The sequence below is a fragment of the Homo sapiens genome, chromosome 6 (assembly GCF_000001405.40).
Source record: "Homo sapiens chromosome 6, GRCh38.p14 Primary Assembly".
Lineage (NCBI taxonomy): Eukaryota > Metazoa > Chordata > Mammalia > Primates > Hominidae > Homo > Homo sapiens.
In genome coordinates, this window is record NC_000006.12 from 80,550,344 (window position 1) to 80,577,115 (window position 26,772).

At 38.4% G+C, this 26,772-nt stretch overlaps 1 long non-coding RNA gene and 1 pseudogene across 1 annotated transcript in view, besides 2 other annotated features; one reads left to right on the forward strand and one right to left on the reverse strand.

The window, feature by feature from the left end:
* Positions 1 to 26,772, forward strand: part of LOC112267962 (uncharacterized) — a 162,505-nt gene that overhangs the window by 65,368 nt on the left and 70,365 nt on the right. The window lies entirely within an intron of this gene.
* On the reverse strand, positions 5,264 to 6,955 carry LOC648934 (citrate synthase, mitochondrial-like; annotated as a pseudogene).
* Positions 22,710 to 23,280: an enhancer, noted in NCBI's record as "OCT4-NANOG-H3K27ac-H3K4me1 hESC enhancer chr6:81282770-81283340 (GRCh37/hg19 assembly coordinates)". NCBI's record gives its function as "activates a minimal SCP1, AML or CMV promoter by ChIP-STARR-seq in naive H9 embryonic stem cells {active_cell/tissue: H9 hESC(naive)}" and the evidence as "EXISTENCE:reporter gene assay evidence [ECO:0000049][PMID:30033119]".
* Positions 23,281 to 23,851: an enhancer, noted in NCBI's record as "NANOG-H3K27ac-H3K4me1 hESC enhancer chr6:81283341-81283911 (GRCh37/hg19 assembly coordinates)". NCBI's record gives its function as "activates a minimal SCP1, AML or CMV promoter by ChIP-STARR-seq in primed H9 embryonic stem cells {active_cell/tissue: H9 hESC(primed)}" and the evidence as "EXISTENCE:reporter gene assay evidence [ECO:0000049][PMID:30033119]".

The following is a 26,772-nucleotide window of genomic DNA, read 5'->3' on the forward strand; positions in this document are numbered from 1 at the left end:
TTAGTGACTGAAGGAAGAATTGAGATTGACCAAGGAGATGTTAAATGTTTCCAGCTTAATGTCCAGTTCTCATGAGACAGCATTTTACTAACCAATTTGCCATAAACATTTGTCTTTGCTCACTGGACGTTTTCACTTTTGAAACAGGGGGCTAATTTAATATGACATCTTTGCAATTACTTGAAGCATAACATCTGGAGAAAAAGAAACAAACGATTTAAGTGAAGCAACATTAAAAGAGGTTTACTAAAAAATGGTCCTAAGTTAAAATAGTAAGTTTAGAACATTTAAGTGGGGATTTTATGTATTATATTTAATTATGAAAAGAGTATTTTCAAACTAAGTACATTAATAAAATAGTTTACATTTGTGTGAAAATGTATTTTTCCAGTTTTCTTAAGGAACGTTACTCATATGATTTAAGCCACCTTCAGTACTGTTCATAACCTGCTCTCTAGTCTTTTTTGTCATGGGTAGTAACTATCTGGGGCAAGTGGTGCAGACAGTAAAGGAATTTACCAAGACCGTTGTAGGTAAAGAAAAGCAGATTTATTAGAGAAAGTATGAAAATACGTGGCAAGATTGCAACAGGCAGGACAGCAGAGAAGAGGCTGCCTGCAAAGAGGCAGGGGCTGGAGGGAAGTTTTATTAAGGTCCTGCTGGAGGAGGGCTACATGCAAGGTTGTTGTGCCCTCAGAATGAGGTCCTTGTGCCCTCAGGTTATTTGTGGTTAGCCATCTCTCAAAACAATTGTTCATTGTTCTTCCCCACCTGGGGACCTCCGCCACCTGGGTCTCCTTCCTTGTTATTGCTTATTTATCAAGACTCCACATTCTTGCTGCTTTTTCTTTCTTCCCATCCATCTTTCCCACGTGCCCAGTCATCTGTCCTCATCTGTGTTTGGAGGGTTAACTTCAGTGAAGTAAGACAGACTTGTCAGTGGGTCTGGAATAAACCCCACCATTATATAATACATAGACTTTTGTGTATGATTGAATTTTCATGATATTCAGAAACTATTATAACATTATTTTTATGAGTTCAGAAGATAAGTTTATAACTTAGATTTAAAAATCCAATGGGTCTAGTCATTGTCTTGTGCTTTTAATATTGAGTATTAGCTGTTACTGAATGATTATGTATAAATGAGAAGGAGTAGATCAGCATTCAAAATTATTCTCTATAAACCAGTGAGTTGAAATCAACCAGGGTTGATTTCAACTCACTCCTCACAACTCACTACTCACTCCTCAGGGACGTCTGACAATATATAGAGACATTTGGTGTTTTCACAAATGTGGGGCAGTGCTAGTGGCATTTAAGTGAGAGACTAAGTGTGGTGATAAAAGTCCTGCAATGCACAGGATAATCCCCCACAACAGACTTATCTGGTCGAAAATGTCAATAGTGCTGAGACTGAGAAACTGGGTATAGTACATGGCTAATGTTTGGTCTATTGAAAGTAACTGAAATACAGTCATGCACCACATAATGACGTTTTGGTAAACAATGGACCACATAAATAACAGTGGTCCCATAAGATTATAATGGAGCTGAAAAAATTCCTCTCCCCTAGTGATGATGCCATTATGAAGTCATAACACGATGCATTACTTTTTCTATGTTTAGATACACAAATACTTACCATTGTTACAGTTGCCTGCAGTATTCACTAGAGTAACATGCTGTACAGGTGTGTAGCCTAGAAACAATAGGCTCTATCATGTAGCCTGGGTGTGTAGTAGGGTAGGGGTCCCCAACCTCCACACCCCCATTCTGCCAAGACCGGTAGTGGTCTGTGTCCTGTTAGGAGCCAGGCCACAAAGCAGGAAACAGGAGGTCAGTGGGCCAGTGAGCAAGCATTACTGCCTGAGCTCTGCCTCCTGTCAGATCAGCAGAAGCATTAGATTCTCATAGGAGCGCAAACCCTATTGTGAACAGAGCATGTGAGGTATATAGGTTGCTGCTCCTTATGAGAATCAGGGAGGTGGAACAGTTTCATCCCCAAACTATCCCTGTTCCTCCCCTTCCAGGTTTGTGGAAAAATTATCTTCCATGAAACCAGTCCCTGGTGCCCAAAATTTTGGGGACCACAGACAGGTTTGTGTAAGTACACTCCATGATCCCACAACAAAGAATTCTCCTAAATTTCTCAGAATGTATCCTTGTGATTAAGCAACTCATAACTATATATACAAGCTAAGTTCATTGAAAGTATTAGCCACAGAGATATATTAGCTTCCATGAATAGGCTAAAGTTAATCAAAGTTGAAATTACGTAGACAATTAAGATGTAGAATAATCTTTCAGAGATTACTGAGTCTTCTTATTACATAAAAATTTACTGTGTTGACTTTTGCTTAAATAAGTGAGTCCAATTCTCCATAAAATATAGTTTAATAATGCAGAAGCTTTTGTAGTGGTTGTATAAACGTGGTTGTTTTGGATTGGATTCACATGTGGTTAAGCTACATGTTTCTATGGTTTCACTGGATTTCAGGTTTTACCTTACGAAGTAATATTGGTAAATGGAGGGATAGATATAAGGTGATTAGCCTGCTAATCAGATGTAATGTTGGAACTTTTTTCTCTGCTTTTAAAGTTTTGTACAGATTGGACTCCTATACTTTAAATCAAACTACTTATAATCCAAATGATTTACAGAAAAACTCTGCAAGGTGAGGTCAGTATGTGCTTCAGGGCCAGGGCAAAAGACTTTACTCTGCCATTTATTTCCACTGTTTTGTTTGGCCTTGTCCAAAGAACCAGATGGATAAGCAGGACACATATGGTGTCTGAACTGGCTGGAGCTCCCAGCAGGCCTGAGCTGTAGACGCTGTGGCCTGCTGCTCTGCTTTTATGTTTGAGTTCAAAATTCTCATACTCTTTTGTGCAGGGGTAGAGGCCCGGCCCATTGAAGCTCAGCAGGAAACAGCCACTCTGAAATCCAGAATGCTCATCTAGAAGGAAAAGACCTTCAGCAACAAAAGCCCTCTCGTCTATAATCTGCTTCTTTTCCTTTGTGCCAATGATTTCCTCTCTCAGGATCAAAGAGCTCTGTAGGGACACAACTCCTGACTCAACCCTTCGAGCAGTTTCTGTTTTGAATCCAGGTTTGGGTCTCTGGGTTGAATTTCCTTCTGGCTAGCCTTGTGACCACTCCTGGAGACAGATAGAGAAACCGCTACAAGGATTTGTAAAGACCAGAAAACAAAGGCCATCTTTCATGTTGACAATAGTAGTTCTGAGCCAGATGGGAGGTTGGGCCTAGGACCATTGTCTTGTGATTAGTGTTGAAAAAATCCTGGTCCTGTCTAGGGCTGAGCCACCTCAGTGAGATGGTGTGGGTCAGGTCACTAATATAATTTGTTCCCTTTTGCTTGTATTGTTTTTGAGGGTCATGATAACTTTTGCATCTTACACAGTGGTCCTGCATTTAGGAGGCTGTAGTGGTTTTATAAGCTTATAATTGGCTATAAGCCAGACTTCGGAATCAGAAAGATTAGTGTTGACTCATGGTATCTATCATATGTTAGCAGAGGAAGCTTGAAAATTATATAATCCCACTGAGCCTCAATTTTCCCATCTGACAAATGGATATAATAGTCCCTATATAACTAGGTCAAATGAGATGTTATATTTTGTTGTGGTAAGACTATACACTACAGAGTCAGACTGCTTGGGATTGAATGCTGGCTGACCTTGGACATATGCTTCAGTCTTCTGTGCTCTGTGGACATAATAATAGGATAAAGTAAGATGGCTCCTATTAAGATTAAGAGACTACATATGTAGAACACTTAGAACAATGTCAGGCATCTTGTAGTGCTTAAGAAAGGCTAGCAAATTATTATTGTGTAGGTGAAAATACTTTTTTCAGTAGCAGAGAAACCCTTTTGTGAGTATGTATTTATTACATACATGCATAACATTTATAGGTGTATTACATAGAAACTCTTTTTAATGCCCTAAACGATTGTATTATCTGGATAATTTCTCAGTCTTCTACTATAATGGAAAGTTATTTCAGATATATATGGCCACTTGGAAAGCCAGATCGGAGTGTCTGGTATTGTTCTTTTTTTCATTGTTATTAAAAACACTTACTTCGCATTTTATACAGGGCAACCTGAAGTCTGCATCATGACCTGACAGTTACCAGGGGCTTATACTGTGTTCATCTCAACAGCGTAGTTCTGGGGATGGTAGATCTACAGAAACACAGGCAGGAATTTGGAGGGAAGAAAGGGGCACAGAAGGAATGTATCTTAATCCTTTCTTAAAGAAAAGGCAGCAGAGCATTCTGAGTTTCTGAAAACCTGTGCAAATGGGGCTTCTAAGACAAACACTGTACTGTGAGTGCTTGAGGTAGGACAGGAAAACGATATTGATAAATAAGGGAGCATTTTCTTGAGGCAGAGGATGAAGAGGAAGACTTACTATTTTTAATCCTCTCAACTCCAGGACCCAATAATCAGAGGAGACCATGTCCAATCTTGAATCGTTTTCTTGTTCCAAAAGAGGTGCTAATACTCCTGGGATCAGACCCTGAAGCTATCATGCTATCATTCCTGAGTCCCTGTTTATGCCCCACAGTACCTTAGAAGGGCAGGGGAAGGTCAGAGGGTAGTGGCTTGTGTTCTGTGGAAGTAAAATATTTAGTTCACATTAAGCACTGATAAAAACCCAATGACTGGGACCACATATCAGACAGAACTGTTGAAAGAGGTCTCTGGTGAGGACCAAGATGGGGAGGTCCCAAACATCCTTACCTTGAGGTGCAACAGGTGTAGAAATTCTGAATGGGGGTGAGTATTAAAATAATGGGAAACAGAACACTCTGAGACCTTAATTTTAATAGGATGGTTTTGAAAAGAGAAATCACATCAAACACTGGGTGCCAGTTACAACAAACATTCCTTTATGCTCACCTGGTAGCATAAAAAGTTGCCAAAGCATGTCCAGCTAATCAATAGGTCTTGCTAGGAGGTGTTAGTGTGCAGAGGAGAGGGCTGAGGGACTTGGTACAGCTGATTATCTAACATCATTCCTATGGAAACAGAAAGGGAAGAGTCCTGGCTTGCTGGCTTATTGTGCACTTGGCAGAGTAGAAGCAAAATCTCAGAAGTGACTGCACATTCTCTGCAACCAGCTTTGACCCAGGGAAAGAGGAGCCAGATTCTCACTCTGAGATGGTGTGGGGGCCAAACTTAACCCATTACACATGCATTAGTTGTGGTCATTCTGCAGTTGATGGGCAACTCATACCAGGCAAGTGAAGGGAGTTGGTTAGGTTTTTCATCTTTTAAGCTTTTAATTTACATTTTAACCTCAAATCTATTATCAGTGCCTCAGATACAATTTAATCTTAAGTCTTTAAAGACCCCTTAAAACCAAAGTAGACTTTTTTTTTAAAGTGTCTTCACTTTCTGGTCGTCACTTTTCCCCCAGTCTCCAGTTTTATCCCAACTTAGAGTCCACAAACTTATCAGACCATCTATGTCTTGGACTTGGGCCTTTCTAGAGGGAATCCTAGTGCATGACTTCAGATGAGCTGTGCCAGTACACCCAATGCCTGAGACACTCTGAACAGAACAGTGTAGTAATTCATTTCCATCATGCCATAGTACTGGAGCAGTACCCCAGGGTGTGTCTACATTGGGCCAAGGATTCTTGGCCTTGCCATTCTCTAAGAGGATATTAAGCACAATCTTGTGTAGTTGAGCAACCAAGTTAACATGGGGTCATTATGTGGTGTTTCAGAGCAAACTCTCACAGCAGGTACCTCGTGGATCAATCTTCTTTAGCACTACATGGCCATAGTCTGGAATAACTTCATCTTGGGTTGAGTGTGTTCCAGGTGTAGTCTCATAATTTCTCATCTGCCACATCTTTGCCAACTGCCTTCTGTAGTTAAATTAGCCAGACAAGCACTTCCTGATTTGCTAGTACATGTAGAGGGCCTGTCAATCCATTCATGGCTGTTGCAAAGGACAGATAAGGGCTTGAAGGGGCACTGCCCAACAAGTTGCTGATATAGGCACTTACATTGCTGCCCTCATGGTCACTGTGGATGGTTTGATACAGATGCATGAGCTCAGTGAACTAAGCATCAGTATAGCCTAACATGTTGGTGAAATTGTGGGGCCAGTGCAGCTTGGAGTCAATGTCCCCAACATTTTTGCCCTTTTAGTAGAGATTTTGGTAGATCTTTGCTGCAACACAGGTAGCTTTGTGATCAGATCCACACAGTCTTCATAAATCAGCTCCCAGTACTTGATACCCTCTGCATATGCTCAGGCAGTATTACTTTCACTGTTGAGGGCTGTAAAGGCTGCACTGAGCTGAGACATGGGATGTATATTGGTGGGAAAGTTGTCCAGCATCATGACCACGTGGGAGGGTAGAGCTGTCCTCTTTGCCCACTTTTTTGAAAGCCAAGATGCCTGTTTCCTCTGTTGGGATCTGTTCAGCCACCAGCAGCTGAAATAAACCCTCCAGCAGGGTTTCTTTCTTACCCTTAGGCTTGGGTGGCAGCTTTTGGCACTCAGGGACACTAAAGCCTCAGAAATGGATGCTTTCATTAGGATCAAGAACTGATGTTTCATATACCAATCCCTTCTTGCCTCTCAGGCCACCATACATCATGCCCACAGTGTTTTGGCCCACCACCCTCTTGCCACATTGCTGTCTGGAGATCTTAATTCTGGCCTGCTCCTTGGGTATGAGGTAAGCTGATATGTCTTCCAAATTCCTGGAGGAGGTACTGGCATGCCAGGCAGCAAGAACAAGACAAGATACGTCCTTTGTTCCCAAGAACTGGGTGACAGTAGTGAGTAAAGCCATGGTGGGCCAACTCTGGGCTCTGATGGGCAGAGAAGGAAGGAGAGAGCTGTGGCAGGAACAGGAGCCTATGTTGCTGCACCAGAGGCCATGCCAATGGGTAGACAATGTTCTTGTTCTTTAAAATGAGGCTCATGCCTGTAATCCCAGCACTTTGGGAGGCCAAGGCGGGGGTGGATCACCTGAGGTCAGGAGTTCGAGACCAGTCTGGCCAACACAGTGAAACCCTATCTCTACTACACATACACAAAATTAGCCAGGCGTGGTGGCAGCCATCTGTAATCCCAGCTACTCAGGAGGCTGAGGCAGGAGAATCACTTGAACCCAGGAGGCAGAGGTTGCAGTGAGCCTCTCGTGCCACTGCATTCCAGCCTAGGTGACAGAGTGAGACTCCATCTCAATAAATAAATAAATAAATAAATAAATGTGACTAAAGTTTGAGAAAAGTACAAATACACACAGGCACCTTATGATAGAAGTAGATGGAAATTAAGTTTGATGAATGCAGCAATTGAAGAAAGGCCATCACAACTCAGGACTATTAGAAACCCTTGGCTGTAGGTGTGCCTGGAAATTGAAGGTTTGCCACACGACTGCAAATCATCTGCTATACAATTGGCAACTTACACTGACATTTTCTTCTCTGATGCCATTGTGTTTGTCTATCCCAGGAGGAACCCCCGTGTATCGTCCCTCCCAACTCTTTTTCTCCCCTTGACCCAGCCGTTCATTTCTAATTCTTTTCTGGATTACTCTGGCAGAGACACTAAGCACATTTACATAATGCATATTTTAAAAAGCACCAAAAGGAAGATCTATTTACTCTTACAATAGACCCAATTCTACCATTTGGTTGTTCAGTCCACAGCAGGACATTTTCTGGTTAATATTCTGACAGATTAAACAAAAGGAACAGATTGCTGGCTTGTATTTTTACATGTATCTTACGAAATCTATTTGTTTGAAAAAATGAAAAAACAGAAATGCAAAAATGATTATGAAAACCAAAACACTTCATATCTGTATGCTACCAAAGTTTCATTTCAGATAAAAAGGCTACATGTTGTTGAATTGATTAAAAATGATTCACTGAGAAAATATACATATGATGGCTTAATATTCCTTCCTAAGTTTAATTGGGTTTAGGTTATAAACAAATGCTAAAATGAACTGCAAATATTTTAAAGATAATTTGTATAAAAATATATTTAAGGAGTGTAAAACTCAAAAAGATTTCATTTAAAGTTTAGCTGACGGATGTTGCTTTATGTTTCAGTAAGCTAAAGTAAAAAGTGGTTGATATCACAGATATTTTATAGTTCATTTATCAAAATAAATTCATAAAAAGTTTTACCTTGTTCTCATAGAACTGAAATGCTTTAGTTTTTTGTAGGAGTATGTAAATTCTTTCAAATCTAATTGTAGCATCAAAATTAAAGTATGATGAAGACCTGCAGAACTTCAAGACTTCTTTCAAAACAAAAAGCATATTTAAAATTGTTCTGAGTTTTTCAGTTCGTTTGGCCTGGGCAGCTTCCTGCATGTCTTGTCATAACTCCCATGTTAAATTTAGTCATATATTCAGAAAATGGAGAAAAGTACTCACCACTGGCAGGTGAAAACAGGAAATAAAAATATTGACTTGGGATGTTCCGACGGCCATTAATGAAAGGATTGTAGTTCCTAAGGCCACCATGATTAGGAAAGTGGGCATAATTACCTCATTGGGCACCCACTTTATTCCAATTCATGGTGCCTATAATTTCTGGTTATGTGAGTAACATGGCAAAATAGATTGTATTGTAGTGAATTTTTTTAAGTGTCTCTTAAAGATCTTCTGTTTTTAGAATCACAAAGAATCTTCACTCTTCCATTTCCTCTCTTTTGGAAACACCTGGGATTTTTTGGAAATGCCTAGTCTTTCATTCTGATGCTTTAGTTCTAAACAAAATGAGCACACACCTAATCACCGATGGTACTGTTTATCTGGAAGACCATGCTGTTTCGGATCTCATAGGACCCTGAACTAGAATTGCTATAAAAATGGATATATTTATATATTTGTTGTTGTTGTTGTTGTTGTTTTGTTGTTGTTCAGGTTCTGATTAGAACACTAAGATAAATTATTTGGAAAAAATTTCTTCAAGAGAAAGGTATTCGTCTAGGAATCATCTATCAGAGAGTTACCATGTATGAAGTACTGTGTGCTAAAAGAGAGAAAAATAGTGTTTACATGTTATCTTGGAAAGTTAAATTGATGGAATTTACTGAGAGGTGACGACTTTTGCTTTTAGAAAGATATAAAGGCAATTCGCCATTTACGTAGCAGTTTTCAAGGCTTATGGCAGTCTGCATCAGGCACTTACACTGAATGCACTTTGATTATGGTATAAATCATTCAGACTGTGTCCATTTTGTTTGAAAGTATTGTTTATTGAATACATTGCCTACAGATGATATCAGGGAAATAACTTTTGTTATAAACCATAACTGATGGATTAGATGGTAAGGCTTAGTTCCAGAGGAGGGGGTTCCAAGATGGAGTTTCAATTAACGCAAGAGGGTAAGACTTGGAAGTTCTTGTGAGCGAGGCATCTTAGGGGAACTATAAAATCCACCCCTACTCTGGCTCCACTCCTACCAGATAAAGAGATGCTTGGAACATGAGATCCTGGAGGATTTGTCTCTTTCCTGGGGCCTGAAAAAATGAGTATGAATACTGCCTGACTACATTGTAAGGCACCACTGTGCCTGAGCACGTTATAAGGCACCAATATATTTGGCTCTCGAAAGGGAAAATAGTTTATTTATAAGCCAGTTGTCCCTGAAGAGTTCTCCCCATTGTGATAAGGGGATGCTAGAAAGTGGGTTGGGCTAGTGGCTGCAGAACAGGTGGACACAGTGTCTGCCTGTGTTACCCCTAGTGGAGGGATGGTCCTGCCTGAGGTCAACCACCAACTTAACACCAGACACCTCCACCCACTTCTCATGACTAGACACCCCAGGGGAGGGAAAAGGCCAATTCAGAACTAACTGAGTTTATGCCTCACTTGACCGAAAAACTTTGAAGTGGCTGAGAAAAAAAAAATACGTGGAATTGACTTAATTAAGTTTCTGCCATCCAGCAACTAAGCTCAATTATAAAGACAAATATTATTTTACATATCTGATTTTTCTCAGCTAAAAATATTGTGCTGACAAAGATTGCTGTAATTTCAGTAAATGTGCTCTATTTCCTATGTGGATGTATAAAATGATTTTGGAGCATTTATTTGATACTAGGATCAGCTTCATAGATAGGATTGTAAACTATTTTATAAAGTCCCTTTAATGGATTAATAAGGAGAAATTAATTACCATATGTTGATATGCTCAGAAATGTTTACGTAACCTATTAGTTGATTGGAAATTTTAAAATAATTATGTTTCAAGTAAGAAATCACCAATAGCAGAAGTTCAACAATATCAATTACAAAAACCTTCAGGATTTTGCCTGTCAATTTCTAGAAATGCTCATTTAAGGGAGCAGATTCTATTCTGTGAATGCATTTAGAGTGTTTGGGGCTGATTGTATGACATCCTAACTTTTTTCATAATTGTAAGACCATTGAGAGAACCATTGAATTACATTTTTGAATTAAATACTTTTTTCTTTTTTTTTGCTTTTCTTACTTTTTAAAGCAGTTGAACTTAATCTTTTATTGCTCTAAAAGTATGGCTCAAGTAATTTGTAAGGATTTCCCTTACGGATGTATTTTTTTACATACCTGGTAATCAACTATTTCTCCAAGGGTTTTGGAGACATCAACGTTCTGAGTATGGCTAAGACTTGGGTGGTTTTACCCAATCACAGAACTCCCTGTGTTCACTATAATGCATATCATAGATCTAGGTTTATGTCTAGACAAATTCTTTACTCTGAGACCTCAGTGATTGAGAAGGTTGTTTTGGATTTATGTAGCCTAAAGTAACTAATGATTGTGCTGCATAATTTTTATTAGGAATCTGTTACATGTCCACTCATTATCTTTCTTACCTTTATCTCTTTTTATCTGAGTTGATTTTCAGATACATTCTTTCTTGGCAGGTATTATATTATGCTCATTGCTGAAATTCCTAAAGATTACTTCCTATTGCTTTTCAATTATCATTAATAAATTTGCGTGCAATGTTATAGGAAACTTAGGATGGGTGGTGTTTTTAACAGGTTGTAACCTAAGCCTGAAAAGGCTTGTTGTGGAAAGTTTTAAGAAAAGCTTATGTATTTTTGACATATAATAAACTGCAAACATTTAAAGTGTACAATTTGATATGCTTTGCAATAGATACATACCTGTGAACCCACCACTATGATGAAGATAATGAACATATTCATTATGTCCCAAAGTTTCCTGTGCCATGGTAATACCTCCTTCCTGCCTTTCCCTGTCCCTCTTTTCATCCCCACGCAACCACTGATCTGTTTTCTGTGACTATAGATTACATTTTCTAGAGTTTAATATAAATGGGATTGTACTGTATGTACTGAAGTTTTCATCTTAATTCTTTCATTGAACATAAATATTTTGAGATTTGTTACATGTATTGATAGTTCATTTCTTTTAATTGTTTTTTCCCCATTGTATGGCTATATGACAATGTGTTTATCCACTCATCTGTTGGTGGTTATTGGAATTATTTCCATTTTGTGGCTTTTACTAATAAAGCTGCTATTAAGTCATCATATGGACATATGCTTTTATTTTCCTTTGTAAATACCTAAAAGTGGAATGGCTGGATCTTATAGTAGGTGTAGGTTACACTTCTTAAGAAATGGCCAAACTGTTTTCTAAAGTGGTTGTGGCATTTTACATCCTATAAGCAGTGCATGAGAGTTGTAATTACTCCATATTGTTGACAATCGCTCACTTGGTATGGTAAGTCTTTTTAGTTTTAGCTATGTAGTGGTATCTCATTGCACTTTTAATTTATACTTCCTTAATGTTAAATGACATTGAAACACTTTTCCTGTGCTTCTTTGACATGCAGATATCTTCTTTTATAAAGTATTTGTTGAACAATTTTGCCTATTTTAAAATTTTTACATATATAACTCAGAGATTCCAAGCCCATTCATACATTTGGTTATTCATTAGAAATACTCACAGGACTCAGAAGCAGCCGTAATCCTGATTATATTTTTTTAGTGATCAGCAATGGAAAAAGATACGTCAGGTAGTCTGGAGGAATCCCTGCACAGACTTCCAACATTTTCTCTCTCAAGAGGGATCACACAGAAATGCTCCTCCTCCACCAGTGAAATGCCCCAATATATGTGTAGTGTTTTGGCCCAGGAAACCTTGTTTGAGACTCAGAGTCCAGAGTTTTTATTTGGGGCTAGTTATATAGCTACCCTTTGCTGGTGTGGCCAGCCACACGTAGCAAATTTCCAGAAGGGAAGCAAGTATTCACCATCAACCACATTTTCTTATACAATCAGTGTAGGCAAGCTGGTACAACAACACTACAGTAACTCATGTAGACAAAACAGACTTATTAACATAGAGAATATTCTGAAAGCCAAGTCCTCAGATGCCAGCCAAAGGCCAATTCTGCAAGCAGACCCATCTAAAGATAGTAACCCCCAAAATGCTACGTTATCTCTCTCTCTCTCTCTATACACACACACACACACACACACACACACACACACGATTTTATTTTCACCAAAATAATCTTGTTATTGTGGGATATCAAGAAGAAGTGAGAATATGGTAAACCAGAAAAAGTCATTATGTTGGAAAAAGTAAATAACATAAGATACAGGGAAGCACAACATCTGGGAATGTGGTATTTGCCTTGGTGCCATAGCTGCTGGGATTTGAGTCAGATGTAATTTATAATAATTTGGTAAGGAATCCAGTTTCACCCAAAGATAGAACTTGCTTGATCTGATTGGAAAGTGAGGCTGAGAATAGGATGAGGTTTATAAAAACATAAAACTTTCTTCCGGGTTGTTCTTCAGCATGACCTGAAGCCCAGGGGACATATTGGAGGCAAGTTAAGGAATGAATTCAGTGGAGGGGGGTTACCACTCTGGTAGCACCTCAATCCCAGAAAAGAAATCTTTGGGATGAACATGGCATGCTCCCTCTGGGAGGCTAGATGGGTGCCTTTGGGGACATGAATCTTTCTACATCAAGCAGTGTTGCCCTCTTGAGCTTATTTTGATTAGTGCTTATTAAACTGCTTGTCTTAAATTCTATGTCCCACCCTCTTTACCCATGAAAGCTTCTTGTCATATAATAAACAATGACCTCCCCAACATTCTGGTGGTAAAAAGTACTTCCCATGAGGCTGTTTTTCTTTTTCCAGAATGTTCCCCAGTGCAAGCCAATGGGGTATGAAGGAGAATGAGGATGTGTGTAAATTAATAGTTCAATCCAGGTGGGCAATGTTCTACTGGTCTATCTTAATCCAAGGACAGGTTTTAGAGTATGTGGTGGAACTGACTACTGGAATCCTTCAGGCTACATTGTATAACTGTTGCTTTTCTTAATTTGTTTTTTGATAGCCATGTAAAGCCTTTCCACTAGGTTCAAGATTAGGCTTCCTGAAAAGTACTTGAAGAATAGGTATCAGATAAGTTCTTGTTAATAGGTGAGAGGCACTGGCTTTGAATTTATATTATTATGTGAAAATGAAGGCAGTCGAGAAAGACAGTTGTCTAGTCAGGGTCACCCCTCCTTAGTGAGAGGATGTGAAGTTACATTAAAGGTAAAGTTACAGTAAAGGTAGTTAGTTAAGAATGGATAAAGGGACTAATTGAAATTTGTCTTTGATGAAAATAGTAGATATTTAGTTTATGGGCTGTCACCTGTAGTTTGATTATGCTGCTACATTTTTTTAGGTCAAATTATCAAACGTAAATTTTCTAATTTTACCTTCATGAGAGATATGGATTTTGTTATCTGTATCTTTTGGAATTGTGTTAAAAATCAAACAAACAATTCCTATAAAGCTTCTCACCCCTGATGCCAAACATTGGTTGAGGTAACCTTATTTATTGAATGCTAACTTTATTAAATGAATATAATTTCTATCAGTGCCATAATTATTATTGTGCTTATTGTGAGTTATTGATATGCTTAGTGCCTAAGGAGCAGAAAGCCATGTAAAGATATTTAAAAGCTTTCAGGTCTTCTACTAATACAACACTAACCATAGTCCTGAAATATTTTGATATTACATTCCAGATATGAAGAGAGTCTCCACACATCTATTTAGCATGTTACCATTTCAAATATTACTTTCATCTTTTTAATGGAGACAAAGATGACTCATCGGATTCATTTACTTTCATTAAACTACTTCATGCTTCTTGAGATCAACTGTGGCAAAAGTGGAGGAAAACAATTTTCAAAGACAAAGAGTTGATGTTAGCAGTGAGCAGCAACATCAAGACCATGTCTATATTGGCACAAAGTGAAGTAAGGATCTGGTAATCAAAGGATTAATTTGTTCTGAGTAAATAGTCATTTCTGATGATAATGTTGATGATGATGGAAGTGGTGGTGGTTGTGGTGAAGATACTAACCCAAACTACCACTTTTTGAGTACTTATCAGGTGTCAGGCAATGTTCTCAGCACCATTCTTGCATTAATTCATTTAGTTATCAAATAATTCTAAGAAGTAAGTCTTATTTTTACCCTCATTTTTACAGACAAGTAGATTGAAGAACAGACGGGTTAAGTAAATTGTTCGAAGTCACACACTAGTAGTGGTAGAGGCAGGATTCATCCCTAGGCAGTTTAGTCCTGATACTGTACTCTAAATCGCTATTTTTTAAATATGCAAAAGTGACAATGTTATGTAATCTAATGTTCTAAATGATAATCTAATGTTATAAACTCTCTAACCATCTCTAACCACCTCACATGATTGTCTTCAGACACAAAAAGGATTGGTGAATGGGAAGCACTTTTAAAACTCGGAATATAATAAGTAACACAAGGATGAATTATTTAACCAAAACCTTTTATTAAAAAAGTTTTTAACATTTTTAAAACCATGGTGAGCTTGCTTGACTTTACACACAGGTGTTTAAATCCAGGGCTAAAGATATTACTGTTTACTTTCTCTGGGAAGCCTAATGCATGAGTCAAAAAGAGGAGAGCCTATAGGGAATGTTTAAAGGTGTTGGATAGGCTGTTTTGCTTCAAAATCCTTCATAACACATCTCTTCTGGTTCTGGGAACTCCTCCATTTGAGGCAGAATGGTACAGAGAAGAACTAGTGCACACAAGATCAGGGCTGGTGTGGCTGGTACAGCAGGCCAGTGAGGTGCAGAGGGCAGAGGATGGGCCTGGCTTCAGTTTCTGGTACTTTTAAGGCCCTTTCCACATTTAACAATCCTTTGGGTGATGGTCATGCCTGTTAAAATGCACAGCCTCATAGGATCGACCTAATCAGTAATACCTAGTGAGAATTAATTAATTAGATTATTTTCAGGTAAACATACTAGGGAAGGGCTTGCATTAGGGTTAATGGTAGTTGGAGGTGGGTAGAGGGAAAAGTGAATGGCTACAGGAGGAAGTCCTGTGGAGCTGGTAGCATCAAGAGGGTGCTCTAGATCCTTGAGAGGGTCCTACAGATTCTCAACAAGTGGCCCGTAGTGGAAAATAACGAGAACCGAGTGAGATGAGGAAGGCACAATCGGAGCTTTTTGTTTCATGTCATTGCTTGTGTCTGTTTTTTATCATAGTTCCACTTCCCCTACTGCCCCTTTGTACCCTGCAGCCTTTCCCTTACCTCAGGAAAGATCTAAGGATTCCTTGACATGCCCACTCCCCACTCCCATTAATTAATTTCCTCATCCTCTGCACATACTAATGTTGAACTCTATTCCCTATCACCTGTTTTTTGATTTGACTTTCAAAATACACAAGCTATGGGAAGGAACTGAAAGGTGGAAAGAAAAGTACATCTGAGATTACTGATTTTTTAAACCTAACTGTTTACTTCTTCCTGTTGTGTGAAAAACTGCCTTCTGTGACTCTCTGCAGATAAAGTTCAGGAGTTGAAGCCTTATGTTTTGCATAGGAAATCATAAACTCACAGTTTTAGAGCTAAGTTTGACTGTAGTTCAGATCTTTTTCTTAAAGGGACAATTTAATGCATCCCCAAATATTTGAGACTCTCACAAGATATGGCAGGTCTTCTGATTGCTAGTACCATGAAATTTCCATTCCACTACATCAAAATACTGAGTACCCACCTGTGTGTGTACCAACCCCCCCAGTATATTCACACACACATGCACACTCTTATTGGTTCTAAGACCAGTTCCTGTGCCTGAGCCGTCAGTGATGGAAACAGCTTTGCTACTATTTTCCCTTACACTGTTATTAGGCCTATGATTTGCATGTGGTATAGAGAGGTGGTTACCATGTTGAGTACATCCAGTTTGTCTACATATCTAAGTACTGGTCTAAAGTGATTTATTACTATTTTCATGATGTCAAGATTCCTAAGTGGCACCAGATGAAATTTCAAACTGGGACATGGTTACCCTGGTTATATTCCATTTTATGTTTTGAGACTGCAAAGAGAGATGGATTTGTGTTTGTGTTTTGTAAGCATTATAATTAAAATCTCCTTAAGGACAGGGATTTTGTCTGTGTTATTCACCAGTGTGTCAGCACCCAGAACACTGTTAATAACTGTTGACTGAAAAACATTAGCCTTATCATATGTACTGATCTTTGCAGTAGAGTCAAGCCCTGGAAATATTGTGCCCTTTTTCTGGTCTTGTCAACTCATTTCCCTCACCCCAACCCCCAATTTATTTTCTACTATAACATTACTGAAATTGACCAGATATAATTCAGTGAATATTATTTCCATTGATTATTTAGCAAAATCTATATAAAGCTGTTTTTAAATACCCAGTAAGTTCTGGGTGGAAAACAAAATTAATATTGGCACTGAATGCTTTAAATAATATCTGGACTTGAATGGAGAATGTATAGTGTACATTATCTCTGCTAATGTCTCAGCATATGCCAATTTTGTGAATTTGCTTGGCAGATCAGTATATGTTTTTTCCCAGAAAGCTCTACTTCCATTTTATAGTTTGGCTAATCAAAGAACAAAAAGATTTTTCTTTTATTTTTGGCTTTTTAAGCTTTAAAAATGAAGGTGGACATAGGAAGTCAGACTTACCCATATCCCTTTATGAGGATAGTGAAAAAAGTTATCAATCAGCTAAACATGAGTTTAATAACAGAAATTATGGAAAATATTGCTGTCCTGAACAGTGGAAACTGACAAAATAATTGTGTTTACTTGGAGATAAAAGGGAACCTACTTCCAGTTGTTCTTTTAGAAATAAAATAACCAGTGATTCTGTAATACTTTACCAGATTTGAGCAAATATTCCCTAATATATGTCCTCTTGTTTTGAACTAATTTAGACCTGAAGTGAGCATACTTCTGGTCTCAGTCTGATTTTATTTTAAAGGTTAGAAATATCCTGAAATTTTGAAGCAATGATTAATGTATACCTTGTCATATATTGGACATCCAATTATTCAATAAGATTTCAACATATTACAAGTCTGAATACAAATGTCATAATTTTAAATTTGGTTCATCAGTATTGTATATTTATTGAAGGAAAGGCAAATTGACTTTTTACTTTTGTATTTTTTTCTTTTAAAAAATAGTTTTGTGAGATTTAATTTATATGCCATATAATTCACCCTTTTTTATTTATTTTTATTATTATACTTTAAGTTTTAGGGTACATGTGCACATTGTGCAGGTTAGTTACATATGTATACATGTGCCATGCTGGTGCGCTGCACCCACTATCTCGTCATCTAGCATTAGGTATATCTTCCAATGCTATCCCTCCCCCGTCCCCCCACCCCACAACAGTCCCCAGAGTGTGATATTCCCCTTCCTGTGTCCATGTGATCTCATTGTTCAATTCCCACCTATGAGTGAGAATATGCGGTGTTTGGTTTTTTGTTCTTGCGATAGTTTACTGAGAATGATGATTTCCAATTTCATCCATGTCCCTACAAAGGACATGAACTAGTATTCCATGGTGTATATGTGCCACATTTTCTTAATCCAGTCTATCATTTTTGGACATTTGGGTTGGTTCCAAGTCTTTGCTATTGTGAATAATGCTGCAATAAACATACGTGTGCATGTATCTTTATAGCAGCATGATTTATAGTCCTTTGGGTATATACCCAGTAATGGGATGGCTGGGTCAAATGGTATTTCCAGTTGTAGATCCCTGAGGAATCGCCACACTGACTTCCACAATGGTTGAACTAGTTTACAGTACCACCAACAGTGTCAAAGTGTTCCTATTTCTCCACATCCTCTCCAGCACCTGTTGTTTCCTGACTTTTTAATGATTGCCATTCTAACTGGTGTGAGATGGTATCTCACTGCGGTTTTGATTTGCATTTCTCTGATGGCCAGTGATGGTGAGCATTTTTTCATGTGTTTTTTGGCTGCATAAATGTCTTCTTTTGAGAAGTGTCTGTTCATGTCCTTTGCCCACTTTTTGATGGGGTTGTTTGTTTCTTTCTTGTAAATTTGTTTGAGTTCATTGTAGATTCTGGATATTAGCCCTTTGTCAGATGAGTAGGTTGTGAAAATTTTCTCCCATTTTGTAGGTTGCCTGTTCACTCTGATGGTAGTTTCTTTTGCTGTGCAGAAGCTCTTTAGTTTAATTAGATCCCATTTGTCAATTTTGGCTTTTGTTGCCATTGCTTTTGTTGTTTTAGACATGAAGTCCTTGCCCATGCCTATGTCCTGAATGGTATTGCCTAGGTTTTCTTCTAGGGTTTTTATGGTTTTAGGTCTAACGTTTAAGTCTTCAATCCATCTTGAATTGTTTTTTGTATAAGGTATAAGGAAGGGATCCAGTTTCAGCTTTCTACATATGGCTAGCCAGTTTTCCCAGCACCATTTATTAAATAGGGAATCCTTTCCCCGTTGCTTATTTTTCTCAGGTTTGTCAAAGATCAGATAGTTGTAGATACGTGGCATTATTTCTGAGGGCTCTGTTCTGTTCCATTGATCTATATCTCTGTTTTGGTACCAGTACCATGCTGTTTTGGTTACTGTAGCCTTGTAGTATAGTTTGAAGTCAGGTAATGTGATGCCTCCAGCTTTGTTCTTTTGGCTTAGGATTGCCTTGGCGATGCGGGCTCTTTTTTGGTTCCATATGAACTTTAAAGTAGTTTTTTCCAATTCTGTGAAGAAAGTCATTGGTAGCTTGATGGGGATGGCATTGAATCTGTAAATTACCTTGGGCAGTATGGCCATTTTCACGATATTGATTCTTCCTACCCATGAGCATGGAAAGTTCTTCCATTTGTTTGTATCCTCTTTTATTGCATTGAGCAGTGGTTTGTAGTTCTCCTTGAAGAGGTCCTTCACATCCCTTGTAAGTTGGATTCCTAGGTATTTTATTCTCTTTGAAGCAATTGTGAATGGGAGTTTACTCATGATTTGGCTCTCTGTTTGTCTGTTGTTGGTGTATAAGAATGCTTGTGATTTTTGTACATTGATTTTGTATCCTGAGACTTTGCTGAAGTTGCTTATCAGCTTAAGGAGATTTTGGGCTGAGACAAGGGGTTTTCTAGATATACAATCATGTCGTCTGCAAACAGGGACAATTTGACTTCCTCTTTTCCTAAATGAATACCCTTTATTTCCTTCTCCTGCCTAATTGCCCTGGCCAGAACTTCCAACACTATGTTGAATAGGAGTGGTGAGAGAGGGCATCCCTGTCTTGTGCCAGTTTTCAAAGGGAATGCTTCCAGTTTTTGCCCATTCAGTATGATATTGGCTGTGGGTTTGTCATAGATAGCTCTTATTATTTTGAAATACGTCCCATCAATACCTAATTTATTGAGAGTTTTTAGCATGAAGCATTGTTGAATTTTGTCAAAGGCCTTTTCTGCGTCTATTGAGATAATCATGTGGTTTTTGTCTTTGGCTCTGTTTATATGCTGGATTACATTTATTGATTTGCGTATATTGAACCAGCCTTGCATCCCAGGGATGAAGCCCACTTGATCATGGTGGATAAGCTTTTTGATGTGCTGCTGGATTCGGTTTGCCAGTATTTTATTGAGGATTTTTGCGTCAATGTTCATCAAGGATATTGGTCTAAAATTCTCTTTTTTGGTTGTGTCTCTGCCTGGCTTTGGTATCAGAATGATGCTGGCTTCATAAAATGAGTTAGGGAGGATTCCCTCTTTTTCTATTGATTGGAATAGTTTCAGAAGGAATGGTACCAGTTCCTCCTTGTACCTCTGGTAGAATTCGGCTGTGAATCCATCTGGTCCAGGACTCCTTTTCGTTGGTAAGCTATTGATTATTGCCACAATTTCAGCTCCTGTTATTGGTCTATTCAGAGATTCAACTTCTTCCTGGTTTAGTCTTGGGAGAGTGTATGTGTCAAGGAATTTATCCATTTCTTCTAGATTTTCTAGTTTATTTGCATAGAGGTGTTTATAGTATTCTCTGATGGTAGTTTGCATTTCTGTGGGATCGGTGGTGATATCCGCTTTATCATTTTTTATTGCATCTATTTGAGTCTTCTCTCTTTTTTTCTTTATTAGCCTTGCTAGTGGTCTATCAATTTTGTTGATCCTTTCAAAAAACCAGCTCCTGGATTCATTAATTTTTTGAAGGGTTTTTGTGTCTCTATTTCCTTCAGTTCTGCTCTGGTTTTAGTTATTTCTTGCCTTCTGCTAGCTTTTGAATGTGTTTGCTCTTGCTTTTCTAGGTCTTTTAATTGTGATGTTAGGGTGTTAATTTTGGATCTTTCCTGCTTTCTCTTGTGGGCATTTAGTGCTATAAATTTCCCTCTACACACTGCTTTGAATGTGTCCCAGAGATTCTGGTATGTTGTGTCTTTGTTCTCGTTGGTTTCAAAGAACATCTTTATTTCTGCCTTCATTTCGTTATGTACCCAGTAGTCATTCAGGAGCAGGTTGTTCAGTTTCCATGTAGTTGAGCGGTTTTGAGTGAGATTCTTAATCCTGAGTTCTAGTTTGATTGCACTGTGGTCTGAGAGATAGTTTGTTATAATCTCTGTTCTTTTACATTTGCTGAGGAGAGCTTTACTTCCAAGTATGTGGTCAATTTTGGAATAGGTGTGGTGTGGTGCTGAAAAAAATGTATATTCTGTTGATTTGGGGTGGAGAGTTCCGTAGATGTCTATTAGGTCTGGTTGGTGCAGAGCTGAGTTCAATTCCTTGGTATCCTTGTTGACTTTCTGTCTCGTTGATCTGTCTAATGTTGACAGTGGGGTGTTAAAGTCTCCCATTATTAATGTGTGGGAGTCTAAGTCTCTTTGTAGGTCACTCAGGACTTGCTTTATGAATCTGGGTGCTCCTGTATTGGGTGCATATATATTTAGGATAGTTAGCTCTTCTTGTTGAATTGATCCCTTTACCATTATGTAATGGCCTTCTTTGTCTCTTTTGATCTTTGTTGGTTTAAAGTCTGTTTTATCAGAGACTAGGATTGCAACCCTTGCCTTTTTTTGTTTTCCATTTGCTTGGTAGATCTTCCTCCATCCTTTTATTTTGAGCCTATGTGTGTCTCTGCACGTGAGATGGGTTTCCTGAATACAGCACGTTGATGGGTCTTGACTCTTTATCCAATTTGCCAGTCTGTGTCTTTTAATTGGAGCATTTAGTCCATTTACATTTAAAGTTAATATTGTTATGTGTGAATTTGATCCTGTCATTATGATGTTAGCTGGTTATTTTGCTCGTTAGTTGATGCAGTTTCTTCCTAGTCTCGATGGTCTTTACATTTTGGCATGATTTTGCAGCTGCTGGTACCGGTTGTTCCTTTCCATATTTAGCACTTCCTTCAGAAGCTCTTTTAGGGCATGCCCTGTGGTGACAAAATCTCTCAGCATTTGCTTGTCTGTAAAGTATTTTATTTCTCCTTCACTTATGAAGCTTAGTTTGGCTGGATATGAAATTCTGGGTTGAAAATTCTTTTCTTTAAGAATGTTGAATATTGGCCTCCACTCTCTTCTGGCTTGTAGGGTTTCTGCCGAGAGATCCGCTGTTAGTCTGATGGGCTTCCCTTTGAGGGTAACCCGACCTTTCTCTCTGGCTGCCCTTAACATTTTTTCCTTCATTTCAACTTTGGTGAATCTGACAATTATGTGTCTTGGAGTTGCTCTTCTCTAGGAATATCTTTGTGGCGTTCTCTGTATTTCCTGAATCTGAACGTTGGCCTGCCTTGCTAGATTGGGGAAGTTCTCCTGGATAATATCCTGCAGCATGTTTTCCAACTTGGTTCCATTCTCCCCATCACTTTCAGGTACACAAATCAGACGTAGATTTGGTCTTTTCACATAGTCCCATATTTCTTGGAGGCTTTGCTCATTTCTTTTTATTCTTTTTTCTCTGAACTTCCCTTCTAGCTTCATTTCATTCATTTCATCTTCCATTGCTGATACCCTTTCTTCCAGTTGATCGCATTGGCTCCTGAGGCTTCTGCATTCTTCACGTAGTTCTCAAGCCTTGGTTTTCAACTCCATCAGCTCCTTTAAGCATTTCTCTGTATTGGTTATTCTAGTTATACATTCTTCTAAATTTTTTTTAAAGTTTTCAACTTCTTTGCCTTTGGTTTGAATGTCCTCCCGTAGCTCAGAGTAATTTGATCGTCTGAAGCCTTCTTCTCTCAGCTCGTCAATGTCATTCTCCATCCAGCTTTGTTCCGTTAATGGTGAGGAACTGTGTTCCTTTGGAGGAGGAGAGGTGCTCTGCTTTTTAGAGTTTCCAGTTTTTCTGTTCTGTTTTTTCCCCATCTTTGTGGTTTTATCTACTTTTGGTCTTTGATGATGGTGATGTACAGATGGGTTTTTGGTGTGGATGTCCTTTCTGTTTGTTAGTTTTCCTTCCAACAGAGAGGACCCTCAGCTGCAGGTCTGTTGGAATACCCTGCCGTGTGAGGTGTCGGTGTGCCCCTGCTGGGGGGTGCCTCCCAGTTAGGCTGCTCGGTGGTCAGGGGTCAGGGACCCACTTGAGGAGGCAGTCTGCCTGTTCTCAGATCTCCAGCTGCGTGCTGGGAGAACCACTGCTCTCTTCAAAGCTGTCAGACAGGGACATTTAAGTCTGCAGAAGTTACTGCTGTCTTTTTGTTTGTCTGTTCCCTGCCCCCAGAGGTGGAGCCTACAGAGGCAGGCAGGCCTCCTTGAGCTGTGGTGGGCTCCACCAGTTTGAGCTTCCCCGCTGCTTTGTTTACCTAATCAATCCTGGGCAATGGCGGGCGCCCCTCCCCCAGCCTCGCTGCCGCCTTGCAGTTTGATCTCAGACTGCTGTGCTAGCAGTCAGCAAGACTCCGTGGGCGTAGGACCCTCCGAGCCAGGTGCGGGACATAATCTTGTGGTGCGCTGTTTTTTAAGCCCGTAGGAAAAGCGCAGTATTCGGGTGGGAGTGACCTGATTTTCCAGGCGCTGTCCGTCACCCCTTTCTTTGACTGGGAAAGGGAACTCCCTGACCCCTTGTGCTTCCCAAGTGAGGCAATGCGTCGCCCTGCTTCGGCTCGCACACGGTGCACACACCCACTGACCTGTGCCCACTGTCTGGCACTCCCTAGTGAGATGAACCCGGTACCTCAGATGGAAATGCAGAAATCACCTGTCTTCTGTGTCGCTCACGCTGGGAGCTGTAGACTGGAGCTGTTCCTATTCGGCCATCTTGGCTCCTCCCCAATTCACCCTTTTAAAGTGTATGATTTAATGGCTTTTAGTATATTCTCAGAGTTGCACATTCATCATCACAATTTTAGAAGATTTTCATTACTCCAAAAGGAACTTCATGCTCCCACACCTCTTAACTGTCATCTCCTTTAGGTCAAATCCTGACCCTAGGCAACTGCTATCTATTTTCTGTCTCTATAGACTTGCCTGTTCTGAACATTTCATATAAATGGGATCATACAATATGGTCATTTGTAACTGGCCACTTTCCTTTAGCATAATGTGTCCAAGGTTCATCCATGTGATAGCATGTATCAGTACTTCATTTCATTTTATTGCCCAATAATATTCCATGGCATGAATATACCACATTTTTTTTTTTTTTACCTATCCATCAGTTGATGGACATTTGAGTTTTTTACACTTTTTGGTTATTATAAATAATGCTGTTATGAATATTTATGAACCATTTTTTGGTGTATGCTTCCATTTCTCTTGGGTTTAAGTACCCAGGAATGGAATATACCTAGAAATGGAATGGCATGGTAACTGAATATTTAACCATCTAAGGAACTTACAGATTGGTTTCCAAAGTGGCTCTACCATTTTACATTCTCACCAGCAATCTATGAGGGTTTCAGTTTCTCCATATTCTCATCAACACTTGTTAGTCTCTGTCTTTTTTTAATTATAGCCATTCTAATGGGGATAAACTGCTATCTTGTCATGGTTTTTGTTTTCATTTCCCTGATGGCTAATGATGTTGAACAGTTTTCAAGTGCATATTGGCCATTTTAATATCTTATTTGGAGAAATGTCTAAAATGTTATAATTTTAACTCTATATTCATGATGCATCCCCATCAACTTCCATTTTAGGAAATAAGTTTGAGCTGGTGACTTGAGAATTAAGGAAAAATCCAGTTACAAAAAGCTACATGTTATGTAATTTCATTGATATAAAATGTTTGGAATAGCAAATCCATGGAGACAGAGATTATTGGTTACTTAGGGCTTTGGAAGGGGAGGAATGGAGAATTACCACTAATGGTTGAAAGGTTTCCTTTTGGAGTGATGAAAATGTTCTAAAATTAAATCGTGGTAATGGTTATACAACTCTGTAGATATACTAAAAATGATTTAATTGCATACTTTAAATAGGTGAATTTTATTATATATAAATTATATCTCAATACAGCTGTTTCAAAAAGAGTAAAAAGAAACAAAAACAAAAACAAGAAGTAGGCAGCTAGTTCTTTTGGGTATCTATCTGTTGAACTCACAATATTATACTTTCTTCTTGATAGTTTGCATAGCTCCTAAGCGATGCTTAGTTAGAATAGAGAACAAATAATATGACATGCACATTTGTTAACCTCTTTATTCCAAAACCAGGTGTCATTTAGTTCTATAACAGAGTATTTATCTTTTCTTTCTATTTCAGAGTAATAATTCAGATAAAGTTAACATTTCCAATAAAAATTTGGGTTTTTCATTTTCGATGTATTCTATTTTAAGCTAATAACAATGAAAACTTCAAAGTATAGTAAATTAATGCCTTCCTCATTTGGCACTTTTTCAAATAACTTTTACTGAGAGGCTGCCATATGACAAACATTGTGATAGACAATTTTACATGTTGTTTTATTAACTCCACTTTATAGTTGAAAAGACTGGGGTTTCTGTGTTTATTTCATTTAATAGCATAATTAGAATAGCATACTTTTGACTGTGCTGATAGGCAGAGCAATTCTGCATTAATGTCATTTCCCTTGGAATATCTTCAGAATATAATAGTTATAGGCATTCTGGTTCAAAGGAGAGTAGAAGATAAGAAGGGAAAAAAGTCACTGGTTCTAAGCAATTGTGAAATCCAGCCAAGCATGTTTCCATAAGTAATGCTTAGATTCCTTTATTAGAAAAATAATCTGGGCTAGGCGCAGTGGTTCATGCTCATAATGCCAGCACTTTCAGAGGCTGAGGTGGGTGGATTACCTGAGGTCAGGAGTTCGAGACCAGCCTGACCAACATGGTGAAACCCTGTCTGTACTAAAAATACAAAAAAATTTAGCTGGGTGTGGTGGCAGGTGCCTATAATCCCAGCTACTTGGGAGCTACTTGGGAGGCTGAGGCAAGAGAATTGCTTGAACCTGTGAGGCGGAAGTCGTGGTGAGGTGAGCTGAGATTGTGCCACTGCACTCCAGCCTGGGTAACAGAGCGAGACTCTGTCTAAAAAAAGAAAAAGAAAAAAGAAAAATAATCTGCCTTCTTGTTAAAGTATTTGATAAAACAAAATCCACATGGATTCCGAAAGTGACTAAATAGCCAAATATATATATATATTTGTTTTTTTTTTGAGAATGGGAAAAAATTGGAAATCAATTCTTAGTTTGAAAATTATCCAGAAAACTTGACCTGGAATTTTTTTTTAGTTAAAAGGTTTTCTCATCAAGGTAGATTATTTTAATCCACATTTGAAATAAATGAGAATTTTTAACTAGAGTCTAATTCTTTAGACTTCTCTATCCAGTGAAATTATATTCCAAAAATTAAGAAAAATTTCTGCCAAAAGATGCCAAGAGAATTCATTGCTTTCAGAACTGCATTAAAATAAGAGAGTTCTTCAGGCAGAAGGGAAGTGATATCAGGTAAAATTTAGACCCTTCTTATCTTTACCAATCTTTTATCATTTCTGGCACTCTTCATTCTTTTGACTAAAAGAATTAAAAAACATCTTTAAAAGATACTTCATTGCTTAAGGCCAAAATAATTAGAATTGATTGTGGGGTTTATAACATGTGTAGAAGTAAAATGCATGACAATAATAGTATAAAGGATAGGAGAGGGAAATGGAGGTGTGCTGTTGTAAACTTTTTTATAGCTTATGTAATGACATATCACTTGAAGTTAGCATGAGATACGTTAAAGATGTATGTTGTAAACCCTGAGCAATCACTAAAAAGGTAAAACAAAGAGGTATGGCAAATAAGACAATAGTGAAGATAAAATGGGATACAAAAATACTTAATCCAAAACTAGCCAGGAGAAGAGGAACAAGGTGCAAAGAACAGATGGAGCATTGAGCACTATTAGAAAGATGATAGATTTTCAACCATACCATATTAATAATTATATGTTGATAAATACATAAATAGGCAATTATATTACACATAAAATGCAAA